This window comes from Homo sapiens, chromosome 11 (genome assembly GCF_000001405.40).
Source record: "Homo sapiens chromosome 11, GRCh38.p14 Primary Assembly".
Taxonomy (NCBI): Eukaryota; Metazoa; Chordata; class Mammalia; order Primates; family Hominidae; genus Homo; species Homo sapiens.
In genome coordinates, this window is record NC_000011.10 from 10,018,611 (window position 1) to 10,046,331 (window position 27,721).

The window sequence follows — 27,721 nt, forward strand, 5'->3', positions numbered from 1 at the left end:
TGCCAAAAAAGGACAATGGGCAGGACAGTTTTGAACCAGGATCCTTCTGAACTTTCCTCAGATTATATCATGTAGCAACTACTTTCTTCACATGTGATTTGAGCAAGCATAGTACACCAGTCAACAAGGACTCAATTGGTCAATGACTGTCAGTCTTTGATATTTTTACAACGGTTTCTTTATAGAACTAGCATAAATATTTAATTTTTAATTTTGAAATGAAAAGCAATCAGTTTCTTAATAACATTCTGACTATTTCCTAAAACCCTGTTCTCAGGCTTCACCAAACATCTTACTATTCCATGAGGGCCTTTCATAATTTCCTATAATGCTAAATATGCTTCTTCTTCTAGAATGCCCTTATTTTACTTTTCTAGCAAGTAAGAGTTTGCTCTTGGTATCTCTATTATTGTGCTAATTATATTCTACTATAGTTTTAAAACGATACCTGTTTTTCCATTAGGCTAAAAGTACATCTGGGGTAAGAGCTGTGATTTGTTCATCTTTATATCCCCAGTGACTAACTCAGGAGCTGGCACATAATAATGGCTTTGTAAACATTTTGTGAAAAAAAACATACTTCTACCATCATATAAGCAGAAGGGCATTACGGGAACTTTCTTATAGACTCCCATGCCATTTATTAGAAAGAAATTACATTGGAACAGTTTTCGTTAGAGATCCTTAGGCCTCTGAAGGTAAGCACATGGTACACGTGGTAAGCAGTTCCTTCAGAAAAGTGCCCCAGAGTGGGCTAGCAAGGAGATTTAATTTGCTTCAAATCCCCAAAGAACATAGCTGATATTCAACTGTCAAAAAATAATTAATCATAGATACAGTAAAATAGGGCACAAGATGCCATTATTAGTAATAGTTTAAAATCTTGTGTACTCAAATTTGCAAACTATGTTTTTATGATAGGAGAGGAAATATATTTTCTTTAAATTTTTTTTTAACCCTGATAAGTTTGTTGTTGGGACAGACCCTTATGACAAAAGACAGATTAATATGAGAAAACTAAGCAAGCTTCCTTCAAGGTCAAACATTGAAAAAAAAAAGACGACTTCATTTTTTCCCCTTATAAGTGAGAATAAGATTAAAACAAGTAATAATGCTATATGAATAAGCTGAGAAAACTAAGACAGAAACATGATCTGAGGCCCTAGATGCTGATCATTTCAGTAAAAAGGATAAAAATCATCCTACAATTGATGCATTAATTGGATGGTTCAGCAATTTACCAATCAGTATTTTCTTTTAAAGAAAACATTTTTACACATCCTAAGCTTTCATTTTTACCTCTGGCATCTTTTCATCTTTATGTTTTAGGAACGTAAGTTATTTTTAAGGCTCCTACAAATGTTCTTATTGTTATAGTAGATATTCAGACAGACATAAGCAGAGCAGGAGAACCTCCTTCCCCTGCCCAACCCCAACCAGGAATGTCAGGCGACCATCAGGTGATGGTCAGGTAAGTTGTTAAACTCTCTCTCTAAAATAATAATTGGTCACAGTGGTGCCAGGGAAGGGCAGTTTCCCAAGATAGAAATACCTGAAATTGGTGATCGGCAGCTTCCTGATAAGAGCTCAGGAGTTGGGTGAGTGAGCTCACGCAGGTGCAGTAAGAGGCAAAATGGCAGAGTTTAACTGCTATATGACCTTCCTCTAGGAACACTGGATTGGTAAAGAAAAAATGCCTAAAGTGAGCATGTGTACAACTCCAGTAAACACACTGCACGTGAAGCCCCTCCCAGGTGCTAGCAGGCCACTGTGTATGCAGAGAGCCTACCTCAAGGGAAGAATCAGGGGAGGAGAAATGCAACCACCCAGAAGCATGCCAACCTATAAAATCCCAAGTCGAAAAGCCAAACTGTGCACTTGCTCTCTCAAGTTGCCCGCTTGGCCCAATTCCAAGTGTACTTTACTTCCTTTTGTTCTAGCTCTAAAGCTTTTTAATAAACTTTCACTCCTGCTCTAAAACTTGCCTTGGTCTCTCACTCTGCCTTAGGCCCCTTGGCTGAATTTTTTCTTCTGAGGAGGCAACAATTTTTGCTGCAGACTCCTATGGGTTCACTGCCAGTAACATTATCACTTCAAAAATAATCACATAGTATCACAGAGAGAAGTTTTTCCAGGGAAAGACAAAAGTGAGACTACCAAAGGTTTTCCATTAAAGCATTTTAAAACTGAAACAACTTGCTGAATAGCAAGGAATGGCTACAGTCAACATTTTAATAACTTTTATGTACAAAGTAAGAATAATATTTGTAAGACAAACTGAACAAAAACTTTTTTAAGAACTTTAAAAAAAAACCCTATATTTAATATCAGAGATCATCGATGGAGACATACTGACCCATCAATAGCTAATAAAAAACTGGCCAAAGTTAACCATGGACAAGTAAAAAGAAAGCATGCATAGAAAAAGGTACAAACACAAATGATACAAGATTAATGTGGTTTAACTGTGGAAACAAAGTGTTGATAGCTGATGGCCCAGGATCATTTTAGTCAGTTTTCAAAAATGCCTATTAAAGAGTATACTGTGAAAACTGTTGGATACATTTTCTAAAACTAGTACATGTTCTAGTAAAATCCAAATTACAGGTGAACAGACATGACAAAAGATGTCAAGAGCATTTTACAAGATTATTTGGGGCAGGGAGGGACACCCAAGTTTAAACGGGTATGGATTAGATTAAAATATCACAGGGTCTATAAAAACCAGTTCCTGTGAATACAAACTTATTAACATTAAAAATCCCAGCATTGTTAGTACACTTAAAACACTAATCCTCAGGTAAACAAAAATAGTTCACATAGGCTGCCAAAAAAACAAAAAAAACAAAAAAACCAAAAACCAAATAAACACAAGACAGTAAACAAGAGATGAAGGCGATCAAGAGGAAATTGTAGGGAGTGAAGCTTGGAATGGCAGAGTCCATATAATTATTTCAGAAAAACACAGAGACCTTTTAAACTGTGAAAAACAAATTCATTATCATAACAATTCTTAGAGAGAAGAACAAAGGAAATGCTATCATTACATTTAGACCTTTCACAGGAAAACTAGTCAAGGTTACAAAAGGATCTTATAGTCTTATCTGCTTCCTGTCTGTGCTTTGTAAAATCCGCTACCACCACTACCCCCAACCCAGCTCGTGAACTCTGATAATGGCCTAATATTGGCCTTTGACAAAGTCCAAACAAAATGACAGGTGATAAGAGAATGCCTTTATATAGAATTATCACCACCATGTGCTTTGGAAACAACAACTCTGCACACTGCACTGCATCTTTCTTTCTGCTTTGCTTCCTTATCTTTTCCCCATTCTTTCCCAGAAAAAAGTGAATTTAGAACATGCAAGCAAAAGATAATGAAGCTGAAAATACTAGAGTAAAATAAAATAATAAAATTTGATCTTCAAATGACCAATTATTATGTATTCCGGCACACTTCATCAGTACACAGAAAAATCTACAATATGGTTACCACTTCCTCATAGCTAGTGCATTCTTTCATTTATTCAATAAACATTGATGCCTTTTGTACCTGAGGCATTATGCCAGATATAGAGTACACAAGAATAATAAGACATGTAAGTTTTAGGAAAAACTTCTTATAAACAAACAGGGGAAAAAAGCATAGGATAGAATTTCTGTAACGTCCCTGAAGATATTCCAGAATCAATACACATCAGCCCTGGACTGCCTACCTGTATGTAGACTTTTTGTTATGTGAGAAGGATAAAATCTGTATTTTGCTTAAATACATATTTTTAAGGTTTTAAAAATATATTAGTTATGCACATAAAGGACATAAATAATTTTACAAGTTAAAAAAATCTTTTTATTATAAAACACAGATATAGAAAACCACACAAATCAAATGTATGGCTTAATAAATTATCTTAAAAATACCACCCACATCAAGAAAGAGAACTTTCCCAGCAAAAGTAAAAGCCCCTGGAAGCCCCTTTTATGTACCCACCCCCCCATCATAATCTCCTCTCTACTGCCAAGAGTAACCATGCTTTTATTTAATATTTATCCACTTTCCTGATTTTTTTCTATAGGCAGTTTTTATCACCCAAAAGTACATCCGTAGACACTATAGTTTAGTCTCACTCTATTAAAAAGTTGGATGTCTTTTAAATCTCTTTCAATCTCGAGGTTGAGGAACCTCTAGATTGTTAAAGAACCTGGGACATTTGACTAAGAGAGTTTCCAACAGCCTGCATTTTGGTAATTACATTCTCTTGGTGCAGTTTAATGTGTTCCTCTATTTTCTACATTTTCTGTGATCAGACTCAGGTTTAATCCCTTTGGCAAAACAATAAGTAGTGTTTGGTAAGGTTATAACGGCACATAATACTTGCTTGTTTTTCTTTCTGTGGTAACAGCTGTTGATACTTAGATCTTGGTTCATTGAGGATTGCAAAATGATACTCTATTTCCATCATTTCTTTCATCTTTATTAATTAGAAGACTTTCTAAAAAAGATAATTGCCCTCAACTACTATTGGTTATCATTTTTTTCTTTATTGATAAATTTTCAAGATAAATTGTTCTTTATCATATTCTGAGGTAGGTGACAATCCCTTTTTAATATTATGAATTCATGGATCTTAAAATATTTGCTGGGTTTCAACCAACTGCAATTATTGTAATTTTTGAAGCTCAAATTCTATCATCTTAGATCAGTTGTGAGCCTCTTCAAGATGGCTCCTGAGTTCTTTTAACAAGCCTCTAACAGTAACATTTTTTCTTAATTCTCATACCATAAATTCCCCATTTTAAAGTATACAATTCAGTGGTTTTTAGTGTAGTCACGAGGTTGTACAAGCATCATTAGTATCCAATTGCAGAAGAATTTCATTCCTCAAAAGAAACCCCACACCCACTGGCAGTTATTTCTCACGGCCCTATCCCTCGAGCCCCTTATAATCACTAATCTGTTTTGCCCCTATGTGTTTGCCTATTTTGGACATTCCACATAAACACAATCATATAATATACGGTTTTTGTGCCTGGTTTCTTTTACTTAGCATGTTTCCAAGATTCACCCAGGTTGTAGCACGTATCAATACTTCATTCCATTTTACGGCTGAATAATTTTCCATTGTGCGGATATATCAAAATTTGTTTATCCATTCATCAGCTGAATGACATTTGGATTGCTTCCACTTTCTGACTCTTATAAATAATGCTGCTATGAACATTCACATACAAGTTTTGGTGTGAATATATGTTTTTCTTTTTTTTTAAGAATCTGATACATTTTGACTTATGTACATACTTATAAAACCATCACCACAATCAAGACTGTATACACAAATATCATCCAGAAAGTTTCCTCATGTCCCTTTGTAATCTCGCTCTTCCTATCCATGAAACAACCAGTGACCTGTTTCCATCACCATAGATTAGACCACATTTTTTAGAACTTTAGAGAAACCGAATCATGCCGTATATAATTTTTCTGACATTTTTCATTCAAAATAATTATTTTCAGGTTAATCTATGTTGCGTGTATCAGCCATTCATTTTTCATTTAGCTTAGTAGTATTACATTGTATGAACATACCACAGATGCTTTATCCATTTCCATAATCAATTATCCTTTACCACTGGTGGACACTGAGTTTGTCTCCAGTTTTTCACTACCATAAATAAAATGGCTATGAACATTCATATACAAATATTTTTATGAACATTTTTAAACTTAAAATAGTCAAACTGTGTTCCAAGATAGTGGTACCATTTCATATTCCTATTAGCCATGAATAAGAGGTCTAATTCATTCACATTTTTACCAGTACTCAGGGAAGCACTCTGAAGTCTCAACACAAAATGCTCCTCCCACTTCTCGCCAAGGTTGATAAGCCTCAAGTTGTGTGCCTTCTTCCAATCACACCAAGCTGTGCAGGTCACAGCAAGCATCTCCCCAAACCCCTTCTTTGTTCTCAGCCCCCCAGACATCCAAACTATGTCAGCTCCTGCTTGTGCTTCCAAAGAGGCAACACAGAAACAAGTCCCTTAGGCAGCTTCCTCAACAGCCAGAATTTGGGATGCAAGCTCCACTCTTCCCTCCTCCCTGTACCCCCAAGCCTGAGAGAGTTGAGGAAGGGGCTGATACAGGTAACATAAAATTGCTCTATTTACACATTTCAATGCTGCTATTCTCTGCTTTGTGCAAGTCTGAGGTACTGTAATTTCTTGACTAGAATCTGGAATTGTCATGCAGGGATTTTTGTCAGTAAATCTTTGTTAAATCAGTGTTTCTGTCACGGAGGGAGGGCTGGAATTTCCTATTCCTCTATCTGATTAATGTCACTCCCAAATTCTCAGTCTTGACTATTTATTTCCTTCACTATTTCAAATATAGTTATTTTAATAACTGCATCTGATAACTCTATTTGCTAGAGCCCCTGTGGTTCTTTCATATTGTCTATGGTTTCTTTTGCATTTCTTTCATATAGTTTTGGTCCTCACGTTTCTGGTTATTTTTGATTGAGTACAGGGCAGGTATATAAAAATTCATAGACAAATTGGAGGTCTAGAATGTAGTTATCTTGTTTCAGAGAGGATATACTTTTACTTCTATGAGATGGATAGACAGTAGCATCAAGAATTACCTTAATCCAACTCAAGAAACTGAAATGATTTCAAGCTGTATTGTAATTCCCGAGGGAGCCAGTCTACTTCTGATTTACCCACTCCCAGGCTGTGGCCTTTTATGGTCTCAACTCAAATTATGAGAGCTTTATATAAAAAAAAAATCCACCTTGGTAAAACTTAAATTCCAATTTTCCCTCTTCCCCATAAGATATCGATAGTACTGATCAGCTTCTCAGCCATTTCTTCCAAAATCAACAAGGGCCCTTAGGAAAAAATGGTCCCAAATGTCTGGCTCACTTCATTTTCTCCTGGATCATGGCTTGGCAATTATTTACTGGCTCTGATGCCTTCAAGCAGATGTTATTTTTATTTTATTTGTTTATTTTGGGACAGGGTTTCACTCTGTCGCCCAGGCTGGAGTGAAGTGGCATGATCTTGGCTCACTGCAACCTCCTCCTCCCGGGTTCAAGCGATTCTCATGCCTCAGCCTCCTGAGTAGCTGGCACTACAGGCACCTGCCACCATGCTCCGCTACTGTTTTCTATTTTTAGTAGAGATGGGGTGTCAGCGTGTTGGCCAGGCTGGTCTCGAACACCTGCCCTAAAGTGATCCACCTGCCTTGGCCTCCTAAAGTGCTGGGATTACAGGCATGAGCCACTGTGCCTGGTCTAGCGGATGTTCTTTATATTTGTGTATCTTTTCAAGTTGTCATTGTTAAGAGGATTATTCTGAATTACACAGGCCACCATTACTGGAAGAGAGCTTTGGGTTTTAGAAATTTATACTTTATCTACAGTAGTTTTTTTTTTTTTTCCAGTGGGAATGCTAATTGTATTGGGGGTAAAAATGCTTCTGGCACCTAAACATCACACAAACTGCAGGATGTTTAATATCCCTGGTCCTTGACGCTAAATGCTGGTTACAACCTCCTCCTCTCCTCCCCCCTCACAACTCATGGTAAAACTAAGACCACAGAGGTTTATAAGGTACTCATTAAGTTCACATTTGGAAATGTGAAATAATTTCATTTGTGTCATATCCTTCTATACCTTTTCATAGTAAACCTCTGCTCTGATTGACCCTTTAGAGGTATACAACCTTTTTTAAAGTAAAAAAGGTCAGGTGAATGGTTCTTGGCTAAAATCAATTAAGTCAATGGTTAGTAGGGACCACAGACAAGCTGCAGGTAGTCCATGAATCTACTAAATTTACTTCCAGGCTGCATGCAGTGGCTCATGCCTATAATCCCAGCTCTTTGGGAGGCCAAAGCAGGAGGACTGCTTGAGCCCAGGAGTCTGAGAACAGCCTGGGCAACATGGCGAGACCCTGTCTCTATAAAACAAAAAAATTAAAAAAATTAACTGGGTATGATTGCATGTGCCTATCATCCCAGCTACTCAAGAGGCTAAGGAGGGAAGACTGCTTGAGCCCAGGGTGTTGGGGGCTGTAGTAAGCTGTGTTCATGCCACTGCATTCCAGCCTTGGTGATGACTAAGATCCTGTCTCCAAAAAAATTTTTTTTGTTAATTTCCAAAAGTTTATGGAGGGAGAATGTAATCAACAAGATGTTCTTTGGAGACATGCCACCAGGAAGGGATTATGTACGTCATATTAGATAGATATGCATTAAATATCTATTTAATATGAAATTAAAGAAAATAGCTTTAAATATTTTAAGGCTTAACTATGCTCAGTGAGTAAAAACTTGCACTAGAAGAGAAGGGAGATGTAATTTTTTAATTGACAAAAACTATATATTTACAGTGTACAACACGATGTTTTGAAATATGTACACATTGCAGATAGGCTAAATTGAACTAATTAATACATGCATTACTTCACATACTTTTTTTTTGTGGTAAGAACACTTAAAATCCATTCTCTTAATGATGTTCAAGTATACAATACATTGTTATTAACTGTAGTCACCATGTTGCATAGTAGATATCTTGAACTTATTTCTCCTAATTGAAATTTTGTATCTTTTGACCAAAGGGAGATATTATTTTAGAGTTGGCATGAGAAGAGGCAAATGTAGCTGGAAAGAATTACTTTGAAATTGATATCACCACTCATTTTAATTCAGATATTAGAAGACTCTATTTATATTTATACTAATCTCCTCTAAGGCTTTCTAACTTTCACTGATTGAAGTTAAAGCAGAAGTATATGGATAGGGACACTGATGAAAAGGGTGGTAAGATACAGAGCAAAACTACAAGCAAAATTCAACAAGAGACAGGAGGGAAGCAAGAGGGTAGAATTTCTGTGCAAGAAATTAAGAATTCCATGAAGAGGCAGGGTATGGACCTTAGGGAAGGGAAGATTTCAGCATAACTAGGAAAAGACAAACACAGATGGAGAGCAATGAGAGTGGGACACTCATAGGCAGGATATATAAAGGACAAGTCAGAGGTAACGTAAATGGGAATCTTTGGGCAGCCCTGGTTTGAAATATCCTCATTTTTAAGTTATATATTTCTTAAATAATGTAAAAGCTGTCCAAGGTACAGTGGACACTTTCTAGAATCCTCCCAATCTTTCATCCTAACCATTGCCGAAAAATTGGAGATAAAGTCCTCAGATAGATGGTGGGATGAGAAGAATGAGACTCAGAGTCCCATCTGACAAGGCTTCCACAAAAGCAGTTCATCTATGGAAATGCAAAATATATCATCTATTCATCTTTTAGCATAAAGAAAATATGTCCACTTTCCTTCTATGTTAGAGTACAGTGGCACCATCATAGCTCATTGCAGTCTTGAATTTTTGGGCTCAAGTGATACATCTACCTCAGCCTCCCTAGTAGCTGAGATTTCAGGTGTGCACCAACATGCCCAGCTAATGTTTTAAAATTTTTTCTGTAGATATGGGGTCTCACTATGTTGTCCAGGTTGATCTCAAATTCCTGGGCTCAAACAATCCTCCTGCCTCGGCCTCCCAAAGTACTGTGATTACAGGCATGAGCTACCACACCCGTCCCATCCACTTTCTAAAAGTCTAACTGACCTAAGGAAAAAAGGGGCCTGAGTTAAAATTTTTAAAAAGAATGAACAGTAGGTAAGATCAGGACCCACAAAATTATATATCTCCTATATATAAAATATTTAATGGTTTAAAAAACATTTTCTTGATTCATGTGAGGTGATGTCGACTTAAAATAAATCCTTTAATCATAGGCTTCTACAAGATGACATTGAAAATGGGAGAAAAGACATACCCAATTGCTGGAACAGGAGAGCCACACTAGTGCCCGTGATAGGAAGACTATCATGTAAAGGAGTCTGGATCAACTGTCTATCTCCTGCACCCAAAGAAAACAGCTTCTGCAGAATGGGAGAAACACAAACACACACACACACGATTTCAGCCATTTTTTAAAAAATAAAAATACCTTCGATGTTCATTTTTAGAGCAAACGACCATGTAAGATCCAATTAACAGATACAAAAGGCAACAATGTATATCCCAAAACATTTAAGTTCTTTGTATACTTAAGTGGCATAAGAAAATTCAGTGGCTGAAAGTTGAAAATCTAGTAGAGATAAGACACAAAAATCATTGATAATCATAACTGGCTAAAAAATAATGAAATGTTAAAGTCAACAACTTTAATAAAGGCTCATAAAGCAATTCAAGTTTAGACCCATCTGTGACCAAACTCACATTTAATATTCTGCCCTTTGAGCAGAGGTAGAAGAATGAAGGAGGAGAGAGCAAGAGAGACAGAGAAAAAAGGAGGATAAAAATTTAAGACAAAAGACAATGAGAAAGATAGAAGAGAAGTAAAAAGGCGAAGGGCAAGAAAAAGAAATGCCAATCCCACTATAAGCAGGATCTTTGTCAGACTGAAGACAATGTGATTTTTAGAAGGCTGTCCTCTTTCCCAATATTATATAAGAATAAGCAAAATAAATTATCACCTATTCATTTTTAAGGTTTAAGGAAAAAATCTATCCTTTTAAAAGTATGGTTGACCAAGAAACAATAAATAAATCATAGCAGCAGAGATTCTTATTTTTCTACTTTAGAGACAAATATGAAAATCTCAAGACATACAGAATAAATGAATCTATTAATAAGTAGTTACAATGTAACAAAGAACTGTGTTGAGAGTTTTCTTAATGTCATCTTCTAATTTTTATCACTCCAACATGTTTCAATTTAGGTTAATAAAAATGAGATGTAACTATATACAGGAGTGAGAAAGGTAAAAGAGAACATTTAAAAGTTCAACTTAATATATTTCCAAGAAAATACAAACTGCAGTTCAAGTTACACAAAATATGACTTCTAATTATGCTATGTGAAAGATGAACCCTGTGTTAAAATTAACCTCATGACCTAAGAAAAGAATGGAATCTTGAGTGTCTAGAAAGCAGACCATGGGGACAATGCTTAACTAAAGTAGGATCTTCCTTAAAACAAAAATATTTAAAGAATTATTTCTTTCCCTTTCTCCATAAATTAAATTAACTGGAGGAGAGGGGAAGAGGAACAATCCTTCTCCACCTCTCTTTCTATTCTATTTACCTGAGACCCTCCAGCCGCTGGGACAAGGCAGGCACAAAGGTTTGCAATTAGACTTTCCAAGGAGACATTCAGGCTGTCCACATACACGGTATAGATCAAACCCAGGCAAGCCTGCAAAAAGATAAATACATGTAATTATTTCATGGAAAAAGCATTAAAAATAAATTGTTATGACATCTGCTCTAGGACGATTTCTCTTTGAACCCAGTAAAGTATATTATACAGTGAACATGGAATACATTTTAAACAGCAAAAATTAAGTTTATTAAATTTTCCTTAGAACCAGAACCCCCAAATGAGCTTCTGAGATGAGTTTATAGAAAGCAGAAATCCATAATTTGTAAAACAGATGTTTGTGCTCTGATAACTACTCTAGCAAATCTGTAGGGCTAATACTGTTTTTGCCTCAACTTAAGTCTGTTAAACTCTAAATCTCAAGACAAAAACTTAGAAATTTTATCTTGTTTGGTGGTTCTTATAAATCCGGAATGCTTATTCTACAGAAAAATTTAACATGTGAATTGTAAGAAAGGATTGCAAAACAGAGACAAGATTGTAAGATTAACACTGAGTTCAGAAGGAGGTAGGTGGTAAAACAGACATAATGCAATCTTTATGAATCTTTCAGTATAGCAAAATTTGTGACTCTGAAAACTTAGTATTTGCTTGGAGTTACGCATTGTCATTGAAATCTTGACACTAATTTAATTCTTTTATAACACAAATAATCTCAATTTCTAGAAAAGTTTTACAGAAATTGTATCTTAGCACAAATATTTACAAATGAATAAAAATTTCCTCTTATGTTTGAAAATTCTGTGTTTCTAAAACAAGAAAATACCTGGAAGCAATATTTTAAGACTATTTTGACAGAAGTATGATCAGAATTGTTTGAAATCTCAAACACCCACCCTATTTACTTGAACCTGATTCCTCACAAGGTGAATATACATACACGAATTTGTTAAATCACTCATGCATTTACATTTACTACAGGTAATCAAATTATTTCTTTAGGATGTATACATTCTGGATTCAATAAATGTGGGACCTATTTTAAAACAAACACTACATCCTTAGAAGTTTTAGTAGTCACATTAACTTATTCAGGTATTTATTTCACCCAACATGAAAATATTTCTTCTGTTCATGCTAACTGTATTTCATAGATGAATTCCTAAATCAATCTAACAATATTTTCAATCCAAAGAACTTGTACCATGGTTCATTCAAGAGACTCACACAATAATACAAATTAATAATGATAACTATGTGTTCTTTACCCTAAAAATTTCTGGATAATATAATCTGGATACCAACACCAGGCTTTTGGGAGCAAACACTTCTGCAGGCTGAATTAAACCAGACACTTTTGCTTCACCTTCAATCTCTTCCTTCTTTGTTCCCTAGAAAAAGAGACACTGAAATCAACAAACAGAAGGGATTTCCTAGGTTCATAATTCACAAAAGATGAATATCACCTTAAATATAACTTATGCAAATTCAAAATTAATTATAATATAATTTTAAAAATCAAACTACAAATAAAGAATAGACTTTAAGAGCATTCTAAAAGTAAAGTAGACAAATTATGAAGCCGGGAATACTTATTTCATTTTTGAAAAGCTCCTTAAGCTCCAGACATATAACACAACTTTATTTGAGCATTTCCTTTCTGAGTGAATCAAGGGCAAATAAGACATGCTCAAATTATTTTAAATAGTGACCCAATTAAAAATTATACTCACTTAGATGAAAAGTTAAAAAATGATATTTAAATGAAGTCAGTTTTCAAAAGAAGATGTTTTGCAAATATGACACTAATTTTCATGTTGGTTTTTCTACTTGTCTCAATGTCTCAAACAAGGATTCTAAGGCTTGCAGAATGCTTGGTGCTCAATGCTCTTGGCAGTAAAGCACAATCGGCTCTAAATTGCTTTTGTTCATAAGCAACAATGCTGATATTTTGAGAAAAGAGAACTCTGTTTCCGTTTTTGAAACAAGGTCTTGCTCTGTTGCCCAGGCTGGAGGGCAGTGGCACAATCACAGTGCACTGCAGCCTCAACTTTCTGGGCGTTAGGGATCCTCCCACCTCAGCCTCCCAAGTGGTTGGAATCATAGGCACACTCCACCACGCCAGGTTAATTTTTTGTTTTTTGTAGAGGCAGGGTCTCCCTATGTTGCCCAGCTGGTTTCAAACTACTGAGCTCAAGTGATGCTCCTGCCTTATGCTTCCAAAGTGCTGGATTATAGGTGTGAGCCATCATGCTTGGCTGAGAGAACATTTTTACATACAAAACTGAATTTCAGAAAGTACTTAATGCCACTGAACTGAATACTTAAAAATGGCTAAATGGCAAATCTTATACATATATATTTTACCACAATAAAAAACGCTTAAAACAATACATAAGTTTCAATAACTAAACACTGGTTAATAAACTTGACAAAATATGATTCTCCCGCTTAACAAACCCAAAATCGTGATTCCCCTCTTTTTAATAACCTATATCCCACTGTCAACAAACCCTGATTTCTTACCTCCTCTATTGCTACCATAACGCTGTGAGCTACTATAATCTCTTGTGTGGATTACTCTAACAGCCTCCCTTCATCTCCTTTATTCTTCTTTAGCCCCACTTTGCTTCCTTGCTGCTCTTTAAACACACTGGGCATGCTCCCATCCACTGCTCTATGCGCTTCTGTGTTATTCCTTTGCCTAAATACTCTTTCCACAGATATTCTAATGACTTAGTTCCTCATCACTTTTAAGTTTTCATTCAAGCATCTTCTGCTCTAATAAGCTTTTGCTGACAATGTTATTTAAAACTGCAATGCCCTAACACTCTCTACCCACTTTCTCTGCTTTATTTTTCTCCATGGCATTTGTTACTATCCAACATATTTATCTATTTCACTTATCTTGTTTTTTAGTTTGTCTGTCAACTGCACTAGCACATGCTCCCATAAAGGCCAGGATTTCTGTTTTGTTCAACGGTGATTTCCCAGTTCCTAAAATAAGGGCTAGGCCCATAGCTGATACTTAATATTTATTCATTGCATACATGCATGAATACATTTTCTTGGCATAGTTTTTTGAGCATTTTATCAAGGGAAGTCTTTTCCCCCCTATTCATAGAGGCCAATAATTATATTTTCTACTTCCTTTAGAGCTCATTTAGTTTCTAGTACAATGCAATATAACCAAGTATTAGATGTCTGTGGAATGTGCACATCCAAAGGGAACTATCTGTTTAGTTTTTGTATGTATGATAGAGTCCATATGCTCTTGAAAGATTTTCATTTATTACAAAGCAAAAACAAAAATTAGGTTGGTTGGTTTCTGGAATCCTTAGAAATAATAAAAATGTGATGAATATGAATTCACCAAAGATTTCCACACTTAATGAATCATATTCTTCATGGATTACTAACTAATTCAAAATGACAAAAGAATGACTAAAATTCTTGGAAGAGATAAAGCTATCCACATTTTATGAGATTGTGATAAATGCCCTAGAGTACCATTAGAAGCCAGCTAGAGTAAGTAGATAACCATTTCAAATATATGACCATTTACTAACTTTGACCAAAACACAAAATAGAATGCATTGGTCATTTCTTAAAGCTGCTCTTCAATTAAACACTCACCAAAAGGAATAGTTATTAACGAGAAAGAAAAAGGTCCAATAGAGTGAAAATCAGTATTAAGTAAAAAATAATTTTAATTTATATCACTTTTTATTACGATGTTGACTTTTCCTTTGTAAATGTGCTACAAATCCTAAAATATTCTTAGTTCTTAATTTCAATATCTCTCCTATAAGAATGCAATGTCCTAAGTTTAGAGAAAAAATTCTTATTTCTGCTTTTAAAGCAAAATGTACTGCTGTGATTAAACACACACACACACACACACACACACAACAAATAAACCCCAAATTTATTAGGTAAAATAAAGTTTGTTCTAGAATGGTAATGTGACATTTTTGATAAAATTTTTCTAGAAATAATTTATCATGTCAGAGGAATACTCCCTCTTCTATATAGCTGCTAGATGTATTCTATGTAATAATTATAAAATGACACTAGTTTTATTTGGTGTGTGTTTTACAATGACAGATTTTCACCCATTGGAAAGATGTGAAAAACTTAAAAATAAGCAGGAAATTCAAAACATAGTCTATGAATATGAGATATTCTAATAATGCTAAATTTAATATTTTATACTACAAAAGTTTCACATATTTTATCCAGCTGAACAATATTTTAAAGGCTTTGCCAACTTAAGATTATTTCTTCTCATTAAATTGGCCACTTAAAGATTATTCCTTGCTTTTAGTAGGTCTCATTAAAGATACAAATTTATCTTAAACACTGTTTACTAAATATCTCACATTGACTTACAAGGTCAATACATATAATAATCACATGCCACAACTTGCCCATTTGTAGATATCTTTGCCTACCAATTACTACTATGGATTACATCTGCTAGTGATTCCCAGCTTCTGTGTAACTTATGTGTAGTTCATCATCTCTGTGCTTCAATAATATGGGATAAATTAGTACTCACCATATCAATCTGGCCTAAAAGTGCTACTGCTCTTAAAACATATCCTGAGACAAAAAGTACTAGATTGCTGATTGCACGCAATAACTTGATGTAGCAGATCAGCACAAGCTTTAAGGAAGTTTATCCTACCATTCAGGTTGAACACTTCAGCCTCATCTTTGTTGTATCTTGATGCTTAATTTTAATATCAAAATAACTGTCAAGTCCTGACCCTTTTATCCTTAAAGAACTGTTGCATCCAACATCTTCTCTGTGCTATGTTCATTTTTAACAATACTGTATCACACTAAAAATCTTCCCGCAGCATTTCTTAAATAATCAGTTATAAAAGGAGGATAAAATTAATTCCACAAGTAAAAAATTTTCAGTCCTAAATTTCCTTTCTGAAATGTAATATATAGCAAGTATACCATTATATAGAATTGTCTCAGTAAAGCAATTTAAGAACTTAAAAATTTTCCAGAATTGGAAATAATGGAGCCTAAGTAGTTGCAAAATTCTGTAAGTTCTAAAATTCCTCCTGAACCCTTCATTTCTTGCCAAATAATCTTTTAATCAAGTTGACATGTCTACATGATCAAACCAGGTTTGCCCTTTCATTGGTCTGGGAAATAATGAATGCATAAGAAATACACATTTTAGGATAACAAGCCTTCAAACAAACTAGGCCTCTAGTCTTCAGTTCAGAATCTCCGCTCGCTGCAAGCTCCACCTCCTGGGTTCATGCCATTCTCCTGCCTCAGCCTCCTGAGAGGCTGGGACTAGAGGCACCCGCCACCACGCCTGGCTAATTTTTTCTTTTTTTTTGTATTTTTAGTAGAGATGGGGTTTCACCGTGTTAGCCAGGATAGTCTCGATCTCCTGACCTCGTGATCTGCCCACCTCGGCCTCCCAAAGTGCTGGGATTACAGGTATGAGCCACCACGCCCAGCCTAAAGTCTTAAACGTAAGACCTAAAACCATAAAAACCCTAGAAGAAAACCTAGCCAATACCATTCAAGACATAAGCATGGGCAAAGACTTCACGTCTAAAACACCAAAAGCAATGGCAACAAAAGCCAAAATTGACAAATGGGATCTAATTAAACTAAAGAGCTTCTGCACAGCAAAAGAAACTATCAGCAGAGTGAACAGGCAACCTACAGAATGGGAGAAAAATTTTGCAATCTACCCATCTGACAAAGGGCTAATATCCAGAATCTACAAAGGACTTAAACAAATTTAAAAGAAAAAAACAAACAACCCCATCAACAAGTGGGCACAGGATATGAACAGACACTTCTCAAAAGAAGACATTTATGCAGCCAAAAGACATGAAAAAAATGCTCATCATCACTGGTCATCAGAGAAATGCAAATCAAAATCACAATGAGATACCATCTCACACCAGTTAGAATGGTGATCATTAAAAAGTCAGGAAACAACAGATGCTGGAGAGGATGTGGAGAAACAGGAATGCTTTTACACTGTTGGGAGTGAAAACTAGTTCAACCATTGTGGTAGACAGTGTGGCGATTCCTTGAGGATCTAGAACTAGAAATGCCATTTCACCCAGCCACCACATTACTGGGTGTATACCCAAAGGATTATAAATCATTCTACTATAAAGACACATGCACACGTATGCTTATTGTGACACTATTCACAATAGGAAAGACTTAGAATGAACCCATATGTCCACCAATAATAGATCGGATTAAGCAAATGTGGCACATATACACCATGGAATACTATGCAGCCATAAAAAAGGATGAGTTCATGTCCTTTGTAGGGACATGGATGAAGCTGGAAACCATAATTCTCGGCAAACTAACACAAGAACAGAAAACCAAACACCGCATGTTCTCACTCATAAGTGGGAGTTGAACAATGAGAACACATGGACACAGGGCGGGGAACATCACACACTGGGGCCTGTCAGTGGGTAGTGGGGTTAGGGGAGCGATAGCATTAGGAGAAATATTTAATGTAGATGACAGGTTGATGGGTGCAGCAAACCACCATGGCACATGTATACCTATGTAACAAAACTGCATGTTCTGCACATGTACCCCAGAACTTAAAGTATACTTAAAAAAAATAAAAGTATACTTTATTCAGAAGATGACTTGCAATAGTATTCTGCGGGACATAATTTAAAGTATATCTGCTATGAACAATATTAAAATATATCTTTAAAATCAGATATAGTTAACATGACAGAATAAGAAAAATAATACAGTAGTGGAAGATATTTAAAATCTATGCTACCTACTTCATTTTATAAATCAGTAATCACATGCCCAGAGGGATGAAATGACTTGCCAAGGTCATACAGATCATTAAAGGCATAAGTGGGATTAACAAGCCAAGTCTTCTCTTAAGCTACTTCTCTTTCCAGTATCCTATACTCTTATATGTAACCTTTATAAGAAATAACATATTAGTTAAAATAAGCTGTTTAGGAAAGATAACATCTGAGACGCCAAACTGTCAATTTGAAAAGATGTTCAGGTTTGTTTTCCTTTAATTATATTTGAATGTAGTAATTTTTGTTTTAAAATGAAATAGTAACAATACACAGTTCTCACTGCAGCCCTTCCTAGCCTGAAATAGTTGTCAAAATTTAAGAAAAGGTATTTGATGTTGAAGGATTCTGGAAACTTAATCCCAAAAGTTTCTCCTGTTGTTTTAAAGTCTTATATCATTTTAAGCATGTTGCACCAATTAATCATAGTTAATCCAGTGACAGTTTTTCCCTACAAAATACATCTGTGAGGGACATCAAGGGGACTGTTAAGATTCAGCATTCTGTCCATTTGCCAATTCTCATTTTCAAAAGGGGAGGAGAAGACAGATTCTTTGGTAAAAGACATAATCTTCAGCATCGATACTCTAAGGAGAATCCCATGTGGATACTTGCAAAGTTGTAAATTATCAAACTATAGAATAAACTCAGAATACACAAGTCTCCCAATTTTTTCTCTGTGTGAATTATGTTACGCATGCTAGTTTTCACCAGACTCTAACAAAGTCTAGTCTTGTTGAATAAGACCTAAGAATTAGTCTCTAGAATGCTACCAAGTGTAAAGTTGATTACAATATCAGCAAGCCCAATTCCCAAATACTGCTATTTCGAATTTTTAGTTCAAAGAGTTGGATTACCTGGGACTAAACCCTTCTTGAAGGAACTAAGGTTTTTCCAATGAGATATTCATCACAGTTATTCATAATATTGACAAAACAGGAAATACATGTCCATCAGGGGATTAATTAAACCTACCTATATGGTCAACTAGTGTACAGCAACTTTTGTTAAAAAAAAAAAATCCTTATTATTGGAAGAAAATATGTCAAACCATCTTTTTCTGTTCTCTCAAATTTTTTCCTGCATGTTCTCTCTATGTCTTCTACAATGAGCATAGTTTACTATGATAAAGAGCGGGATGGTGGGGGTGGGGGAGTACCAAAAATGATTGGGTTGTAGTACTTCAGCTAAATCTATACACTGTTTTGTGTGTGGTTTTCTCCACTGTTTTATACCATCTAGAGACGAATTTATAAATTCCTTTTTATTACTCCATTTTCCAGGTAATTACTTAACTGCTTGGAATTAATTATATGATACTATGTTTAAATTTTTTTCTTTTCTCAAATAGCTCATCAACTGTTTAAATAATATTTGTTGAAATACACACATTCCATTGATTTATAAAGCTTCTATTGTTGGACACTGATCTCCTATACACAATAGGGTCTGCTTCTGGAGTATTGGTTTTGTTCCCATAATTGTTTTTACCCTTGACACTTAATTCTTGAACCTATAGCACACTGATACAATTTTTGCAGCTTTGTAGTATATGTGGTTATTATTTGGTCCTTGGAGACAGAATCAATCAAGCACTTTAACTTGGTACTGAATGTCCCTAAGTAAGCCTCATCTGTAAAATGGAAATGTTAAAACCTATCAAATGGTGTTTTGTGAGAATAAACTATATGTGAGTTAAATAAAATAGAATGAAATAAAGTGTTGTAAAACTTTTAGCACAGTACCCAGAACATAAGACTTTAATTTATCATAAGCACTACAATCTTTTTTCCTTTGCACAAGCTTTTTGTTTGAATTGTCCTTTTTCTTTCCCTTACTCTAGGTGTTAGCTCTTATTAAAATGTCCACTGAGTCTTTTAAACTCTGTATGATTTATTCCAGTTGCCTAGTCTGCAATTATTATCTGTTTCACTGAATGATACTTAGCATATGATACTTTGGAATGGTTTTGTACTTAAGTTTTGGTTCTGCTTCCCAAGCTAGATTTGAAGCCCACTGTGATGGAGAAACGTATCTTATGTCTTCTATGTCTCTCCCTCTTTTTTCCTCCTCTTATCTCTCGAAATTACAAAATTCATTCCCTCTCTCTTTCTTTGATGACAATTTGATGACACACCAAATGTTCTCACTGAGAACTGCATAATTACCACTGATTCAGAGACAAGTATATAAACATATGAAATAACTTTAAAAAGATATAGAACTAAATTTAAATTTTAGATATTTAAAATTTTATACTTTTAACATATTTTAAGATAATCAAATGATTATTTAGATAAGTAATAAAAGTCAATGTAAATCTATCATATTTTGCTGATTACTTAAAAAAATTTAGGATCACATTACCTAGTTGAGTAATTTTGGGAACATATTATCAAAAGTTTAATGCCAAGTTTTGCTTATGATTACTGACAGTGTTACTGTATCTTGGAAAGATAACAGAGCTAACATTTTTAAAGTTGCACAATCACATTCTGGATGGTGTATGTCCCTAAGTTCCCCCTCTTTAGGCTTCCAAATAATGTGTCATAGTATATTTGGTATGAAGTAATTCACACCAAAAAAGAATTAAAAGATCTATTTTGAACTGATGATATGATCCAAAAAGAAAAGAAAAACACATTTTTAAAGGGACATAAACAGTTCATGCCAAAAATGAAAACAACTTTACTGATGACAAGAAAGAAACATCTTCTGGGTTCTATTTTTTTTTCAAATTCTGCTTCATTGTTTATCCCTCTTTTCCACCAAGCCCAAAAGACATTAACTTATGTTTCCAGAAAAGTGGTCTTACAATTCTGGCTAGTACCTAAGTACAATTATATAGAATCCGGAATTCTCACAACCTATCCGCATTTTCAAAATCTTGGAAAAACTGATATGAAGCAGACTGTAACCTTTTGTAAGGTGATCGTAACAAATAAATTATGATTTCTGGGCCCACTTAAAATGGCAAGTAGGAAAATATCTAAGCTAAAAAGAGAAATAACTTCTTGACATATGGATTCAAACTATACAAGAACCCAGATCTTAGCTTCTAATATTATTCCCTATTCAAAGGAGTCAGACTCCTTGAAGAAATGGCTGATTTCAAGGCAGAGGCAGGGAAGGAATAAAATGATCCTAGATCAACTTGTTATGATGAAAAGTTAAAAAGTACTTTTTCTAAAAGGAGATCTGTGAAAAGAACACAGGAATCTGTCTGAGTGGTGCACGCTGGTCAAATATGGGATAATTTGTGCATTAAAATAATAAAAACCATTAATGATTTACATATTATTGACAAAAAAAAAACCTGAATCCATGTATCTGTAGCTCAAACAGACAGGAAGAGAGAGTTCCTGCTTATAGTAAAAGGTCGACTGCTGACTGCTAAAAATAGAGGGAGTATGGAGTTAGAAAATAATCATTTTTTGTTATCAGAATCAAAATTGCTATAGGCAAGAATCATTAGTAAATGCTGAAATCTAGGGGAACATGATTGATGAACAGTAGGATATTTGCATAGTGTTAGAGTGTCTTCTAGTAGACTGATTATTAATTGCAAACATAAAAATCGCCACTATGAAGTGGAGAAATCTGACAATCATCTGACCAAGTTACCAAAATTAACATCATCAGTGAGGGACAGACAGGCATTGTGGACTTCCGGATGTGTACTCTTAGAAGGATGCCCTTAGAAGGAACACAGGTAATATTCCAACTGTTGACACAGCCTGAAACTAACAATGAGAGATACTGGAAAACAGAAAATAAGAAACATTGTATTAAAAATGGGGGGTGAGAAGTTACATTATTTAAAAATGTCAACATTATAGACAAAGGCAGCACAAGTATTCCAGATGAAAAGAGACGAAAGAGAAATAAAAACTAAATGCAATATATGTAGTATGTACTAGATCCTGTACTGGAAGAAAAAAGGGATGGGGGGGTGCTATAAAGGACACTATTAGATCAAATGACAAAACTGGAATATGGATAGTAGGTTTTATTATATTGATGTTAAATTTCCTGAGGTTGATAACTGTACTGTTTACGTACTGTTCATGTACCTCTGAAGCATATACTAAAGAATTTAGGTGTGTGTGTGTATGGGGGAGATGGGGAGAGGAGAGAGGGGAAGAGGGAAGAAGGGATAAAGAGAGGAAAGAAGGGTAGGGAAGAAAGACCTCAAATAAAACGATGGGGCAAAATATTAACAACAGGTGAATATGGGTAAAGGCTATATACATGTTTGCATTATTCTTGCAACTTTTCTGTAAGTTTAAAATTATTTCCAAATTAAAAGTTTGAAAAATACCCAAGAATTCCTAGAACCTATTTATAAACATCTGCCATTAATATAATGTCAATATATTGCCTTTCTGTCAGTTTGTCTAGAAGAAGAGGGGTGAATAGTGAAGAGGGAGAATCTAAATAATTATAGTTAGTTTCATTAGATAATTCCAAAGAGTTGTGAAGCGATACCCTCAAGAATATGGAAATAACAGAATATACTGAATTCTCAGCATTAACTTAAATGCTAAAGATCAACAGAGAAACGAAAGGCCAATAAAAGAGACAGAGTGGTTCTTGGGCTAGAGAACACTCTCTAACTTATTCAGATTGAACTGATAAAAATGAGAATTTGATTAGCTATTTGTTGGCAACATATATCCAAACATTATCCAGGGGAGAGGAGACTTAAAGTCACAGACTGAAAGTTTTCTGTCCCCATTGATAACATACAGTAATCTCTAACTTCAAATAGAAGCAACAGGCTATGTTAGTCTGATAGTCTTTAAGTATTTAACATCAAATATCGGTTTGATTCCATAATCAAAACTCCGGACTTTGATATGGCTTTCTACTAAGATCTGGTGACAGGAAGACAATGTGCTGATAATGCATGTTTTGTTCTATATGCATTTTCAGCACTTTTCACATTTCCTATAAATTAGTAGTCTAGCATGTTAGTTTTAACACATCAGTCTAATGAACTTGAATAATGAGTCTGCATCATGAAAGGTAATTTGTCTCTTCTTGTACTCAAAAATCAGATTTCTGCATCCAGAAAATTCAGATCTTAGAGTTTAATAAACATAATCAAAACTACCAAATACTCCTTTGTTAAGCCATTTCAGAAAGCAGGCCAATCTTTTCCCCCAAGTGATGATACTCTATACGTAGCAGAAACTACAGTAGATTATGCAAACTGGCTTACTCAATATCTTCGAAGTCCCCTTTATGGTTTCCTTCTTGTATTATAGAGCCTGGAAAGAAAAACCACCACCACCAGCACCAACAAAAAAAACCCTACACTTTTTGGGGCAAAATGGGCTCTGTATACAATCTTAACTTCCACCAAAGAAACAACTCATGTAAAACTTAAAAGCAGAAGTCAGCAGTATGAGACTAAAGCAGAAGTCAGCAGTGTGAATATCTGCAGGAGAATGGATATTCTAGCACAACTATGGTGAAGGTTATAATGTCTGATATATACCCAGCATTGTAAGTGCCAAGTGGTAAAAGGTGGAAGGAATATGGTTTCTATGAGAATAGCACCAAGCTGGGCTGTTCCTAGTACCCAGAATTGGTTCCCTGCTTGTCCCTCACCCCTAAAATTTCACAAGTTGCCAAATACTTTGTTATGACTCCTTTCTGCTTAGAGAAAGTAGAGCCAGTAATGTGAAACTAAGAACCTCAACCAATAGTCTGAAAGAGCAATTATTTTATATGTCTTCATAGTTCTAGCTTATGAATTTCTGCCTGATCATGTTGATAATACCACCCCTAAGAAGAATGAGTTAACATTTGGGTGCTTAAACAATAATGTCAAGCATTGTAATAATGATTTGCAAACATTGTGAGTAAATGTTCCACATTCTATGAAAGACCTCCCAGGAGAAGGGCTGGCAGGGAAAATCACAGGTTCACCAAGAGAAGAAATTAATATTCTTAATAAACCAATTCAAGGATGCACTATTTTTAGAAATATTCAGATTATGATCAATGTTTTGAAAAAGGACAATTAAATCTGGAAAGTAATTTTAACATGTTGCTCTCCTCTCCAACCTTAAACATAAAAATTTCTTCATGCTTCTTATGCTAGCCCATAAAACTCAAACTTGCAGTTGTAACAAAAATATGGCATATAAAAAACATTCCTAAATGTTGTACCTTCGACTGTACTTTAGCTAGTAAAGGTTTTTGTACCTGAAGATTGATCTCTGCCTCATAGAAGGTTAGGCATGAGCAGTAATGTCGATCTGAGTCAATGTCTGTCAGGACAACCACAAAGAACGTTGGCTGCTTCCTCTCTCTGGACAGCTGCCACCCGCCAGGCTGACAAAACTAAATGAAATAGAAAAAAAAATGTAACATTTAAAAACAATAAAAGTTAATTATTAATCTCTGAGAAATTTTAAATGTTTGCCCATTTTAACAAATTCCTACCTGATGTGGTATGAGTCTAAAGCCAACATTTAAAAAAAAGTTAATGTACAGATTCATAATGGTGAAAACTTTCACCAATGTGCATATATATTTCATGAAGATAGCCTCGATTTCCCACAGTTGCCACTCTGGGTGCCATTTCTGAGACCCAGGTAGGCCTATGTAGGAATACCGCATCAAAATTAAAGACATCCCCCAACTATGAGAACAAATCATGGAATACATTAGAAATCAAGGGCAAAATATGTATCATTGAGGGAAAATAGAATTATTTTTAAATTTCCATATGAATCTGAGAGTCTTCAATTCATTACAAAAAAAGAGATATCTTGTTCAGCAAGACAGACCACATTCTTGTCCATAAAACATACTTCAACAAATTTAAAAAAGAGGAATCATAGAATGTCTGCTGTTAGACCATGACAGAATTAAACTAGAAATCAATAACAGGCAGATAGCTGGAAAATCCAGAAATACTTGCAGGTTAAACAACACTTTCTTTTTTTTTTGAGATAGGGTCTTGTTTCATCACCCAGGCTGCAGTGCAGTGGCATGATCACAGCTCACTTTAACCCCAACCCCCTGGGCTCAGGCGATTCTCCCATCTCAGCCTCCTGAGTAGCTGGGACTACAGGTGCCTACCAGTATATCTGGCTAATATTTTTTATTTTGTAGAGAAAGGGTCTTTCCATGTTGTCCAGGCTGGTCTCGAACTCCTGGGCTCAAGCAATTCTCCTGTGTCAGTCTCCCAAAGTGCCAGGATTATAGGCATAAGCTACTGCACCCAGCCAAACAATACTTTTTAAATAACATGAGTCAAAGATGAAATCTCAAGAGAAATTTAAAAAATATTTTGAGCTAACTGAAAATGAAAATAAAACATCAAAATTTGTGTGATGTGATGAAAGCAGTGCTTATAGAAAAATTTCTATCATTGAATGCACATATTAGAAAAGAAGAAAGATCTAAAGTCAGTAAACTAAGCTTTGACCTTTGGAAACTAGAAAAGAAGAGCAAATTACATCCAGAGTAAGCAAATAAAGAAAATAAAAGTTAGAATTGAAATCAATGATACTGAAAACAGAAAATCAGTAGAGAAAAATCAATAAAATAAAAGGCTGCTTCTTTGAAAAGCTCAATAAGCCTCTAGCCAGGCTAATTAAGAAAAAAAAAAAAAGGCACAAATTACTAACAAATGAAATGAAAGACGGGATATCAGTACAGATTGTTCTGGGCGGGAGACCCGCAAGAGGAGAAGAAAAGGCACACACACAATACCTTTAAAGGTAAACAAGCTTTATCCCATGTAAATGGCAATGTAGATATAATAAGCAAATTATATAATAAGCAAAGTAATAAAATAAGCAAATGATATAATAAGCAAATTGCAACGCAAAGGGGAGAAGGGAAAAGAGATAAATGTCTCTACACTCACCAGACTATGGAGGATTCACCACCAGACTGGGAAGCAACAGTCTGGGCTCCAGAGTTGGACACTGCACTCACCAGACTATGGAGGATTCACCATGCCAGAGGTGGTGAATTCCTCTTCAAAGGGTTTAATTGTGTAATGTCCTTGGTTCAAAGGCCCCACCTTCTTGTACTTTCTCATTTTTAGCCTGCAAGCAGCCCTCCTGCTCTTGCTGTGCCCTAACTTGCCCAGACATGTCCAGACACGTCTTGTGCCATAGCAGAAGAACCACTTCTACCCGCTCCCTTGCGAATTGTGCATCTACCCTATTTGTTCAGTGTGCTCTTGTGATCGTGGCTGATGCAGGGAGCACCCTTCTGCAGAAGTAAATTGCCTTGCTGAGAACGCTTTTTGCCTGAGTGCTGGTTTCACTTTGCAGCACCAAGCACTTGTTTCTAACAACCACTAGACTGGGAAGCAACAGCCTGGGCTCTATAGTCAGCCACTTGTCTGTGCACAGACAAAGAGAGGTCTCATGAAGCTTCAGCACAGTGTGGGACCCTAGCTGTTTTTGTAACGAGTTGTTTGGCAGGAGGTCCAGTCATGAAGGCCCTTCGTGACTGGACTCAAGGAACACAAAAAGGTCAACTTGTTTTTGTGACTATCTATTGCTTTTCTTTTTTTTTTTTTTTGAGATGAGTCCTGCTCTGTCGCCCAGGCTGGAGTGCAGTGGCACGATCTTGGCTCACTGCAACCTCCGCCTCCTGGGTTCAAGTGATTCTCCTGCTTCAGCCTCCTGAGTAGCTGGGATTACAGGTGCCCGCCATCATGCCCAGGTAATTCATGTATTTTAGTAGCGATGGGGTTTTGCAATGTTGGCCAGGCTGGTCTTGAACTCCTGACTTCAAGTGATCCACCCGCCTTGGCCTCCCAAAGTGGTGGGATTACAGGCATGAGCCACTGCACCCGGCCTATTGCTTTTCAAAAACCAAGGTATAGGAATAGATTGAAATAGAGATTTCTCTGAAACAGTGCTGGACGAACGCCTGAAGGGGCTCACACAACCTGTGCCAGGACTTGGTGACCATTGTTTGTGTCCACGTTCAATTGAGTTCAAATTTAATATTTAACTTTTCCTCCACACAAAAGTTCCCATGAACTTTTAAAGGATAATCAATGAATATTATGCACAAGTCTATGCCCACAGCTTTGACAATGTAGAGAAATGTACCAATTTCTTGAAAGACACAATCTACCAAAACTCACACAAGAAATGGACAATCAGCATAGTCCTATATTGTTAAAGAAACTGAATCAATAATTAATAACTTTCCAAAACAGAAAGCACCAGGCCCAGATGGATTGACTGGTGGATTCTTTTAAACATTTAAGGAAGAAGTTACAGTCAGCCCTCTGTATCTGTGGGTTCTACATCTGTGGATTCAACCAACCACGGATCAAAAATATTTGAAAAAAAAAGAAAAATAACAATACAACTATAAAAATAGCATATATAAAAATCCAGGATAGTAGCTATTTACATAACATTTACATTGTCTTAGGTATAAGTAATCTAGAGATGATTTACAATATACAGGAGGATATGCATGGGTTATATGCACATACCACACCATTTAACATAAAACATTTGAACATCCTCGGATTTTGGTATGTGTGGGGGATTCTTGGAACCAATCCCCTGCAGATTCCAAAGGACAACTGTATACCAATTATCTGCAACCTCTTTCAGAAAACAGAAGCAAAGGGAATACCTTCTTCATTCTATGAGGCCAGCACTATACTAATACCAAAACCAGATAAAGACATTTACAGAAAT

General features: G+C 35.6%; 1 protein-coding gene across 11 annotated transcripts in view, besides 1 other annotated feature; it reads right to left on the reverse strand.

Annotated features, from left to right (window-relative positions):
* SBF2 (SET binding factor 2) overlaps window positions 1–27,721 on the reverse strand; it is a 526,174-nt gene that overhangs the window by 239,943 nt on the left and 258,510 nt on the right. For all 11 annotated transcript variants that reach the window (NM_001425069.1, NM_001425070.1, NM_001424318.1 and 8 more), the window contains 4 exons: window positions 24,234–24,371; window positions 12,438–12,560; window positions 11,155–11,265; window positions 9,842–9,947 (listed from right to left, as the gene is read on the reverse strand). In NM_001425069.1, the coding sequence (NP_001411998.1) occupies window positions 9,842–9,947; window positions 11,155–11,265; window positions 12,438–12,560; window positions 24,234–24,371 (478 nt within the window). The remainder of the gene's footprint in view (window positions 1–9,841; window positions 9,948–11,154; window positions 11,266–12,437; window positions 12,561–24,233; window positions 24,372–27,721) is intronic.
* Window positions 25,558–26,757: an enhancer, noted in NCBI's record as "MED14-independent group 3 enhancer chr11:10065715-10066914 (GRCh37/hg19 assembly coordinates)". NCBI's record gives its function as "activates an origin of replication core promoter dependent on BRD2, BRD4, P300/CBP and CDK7 cofactors, and independent of MED14, by STARR-seq in HCT116 cells {active_cell/tissue: HCT116}" and the evidence as "EXISTENCE:reporter gene assay evidence [ECO:0000049][PMID:35650434]".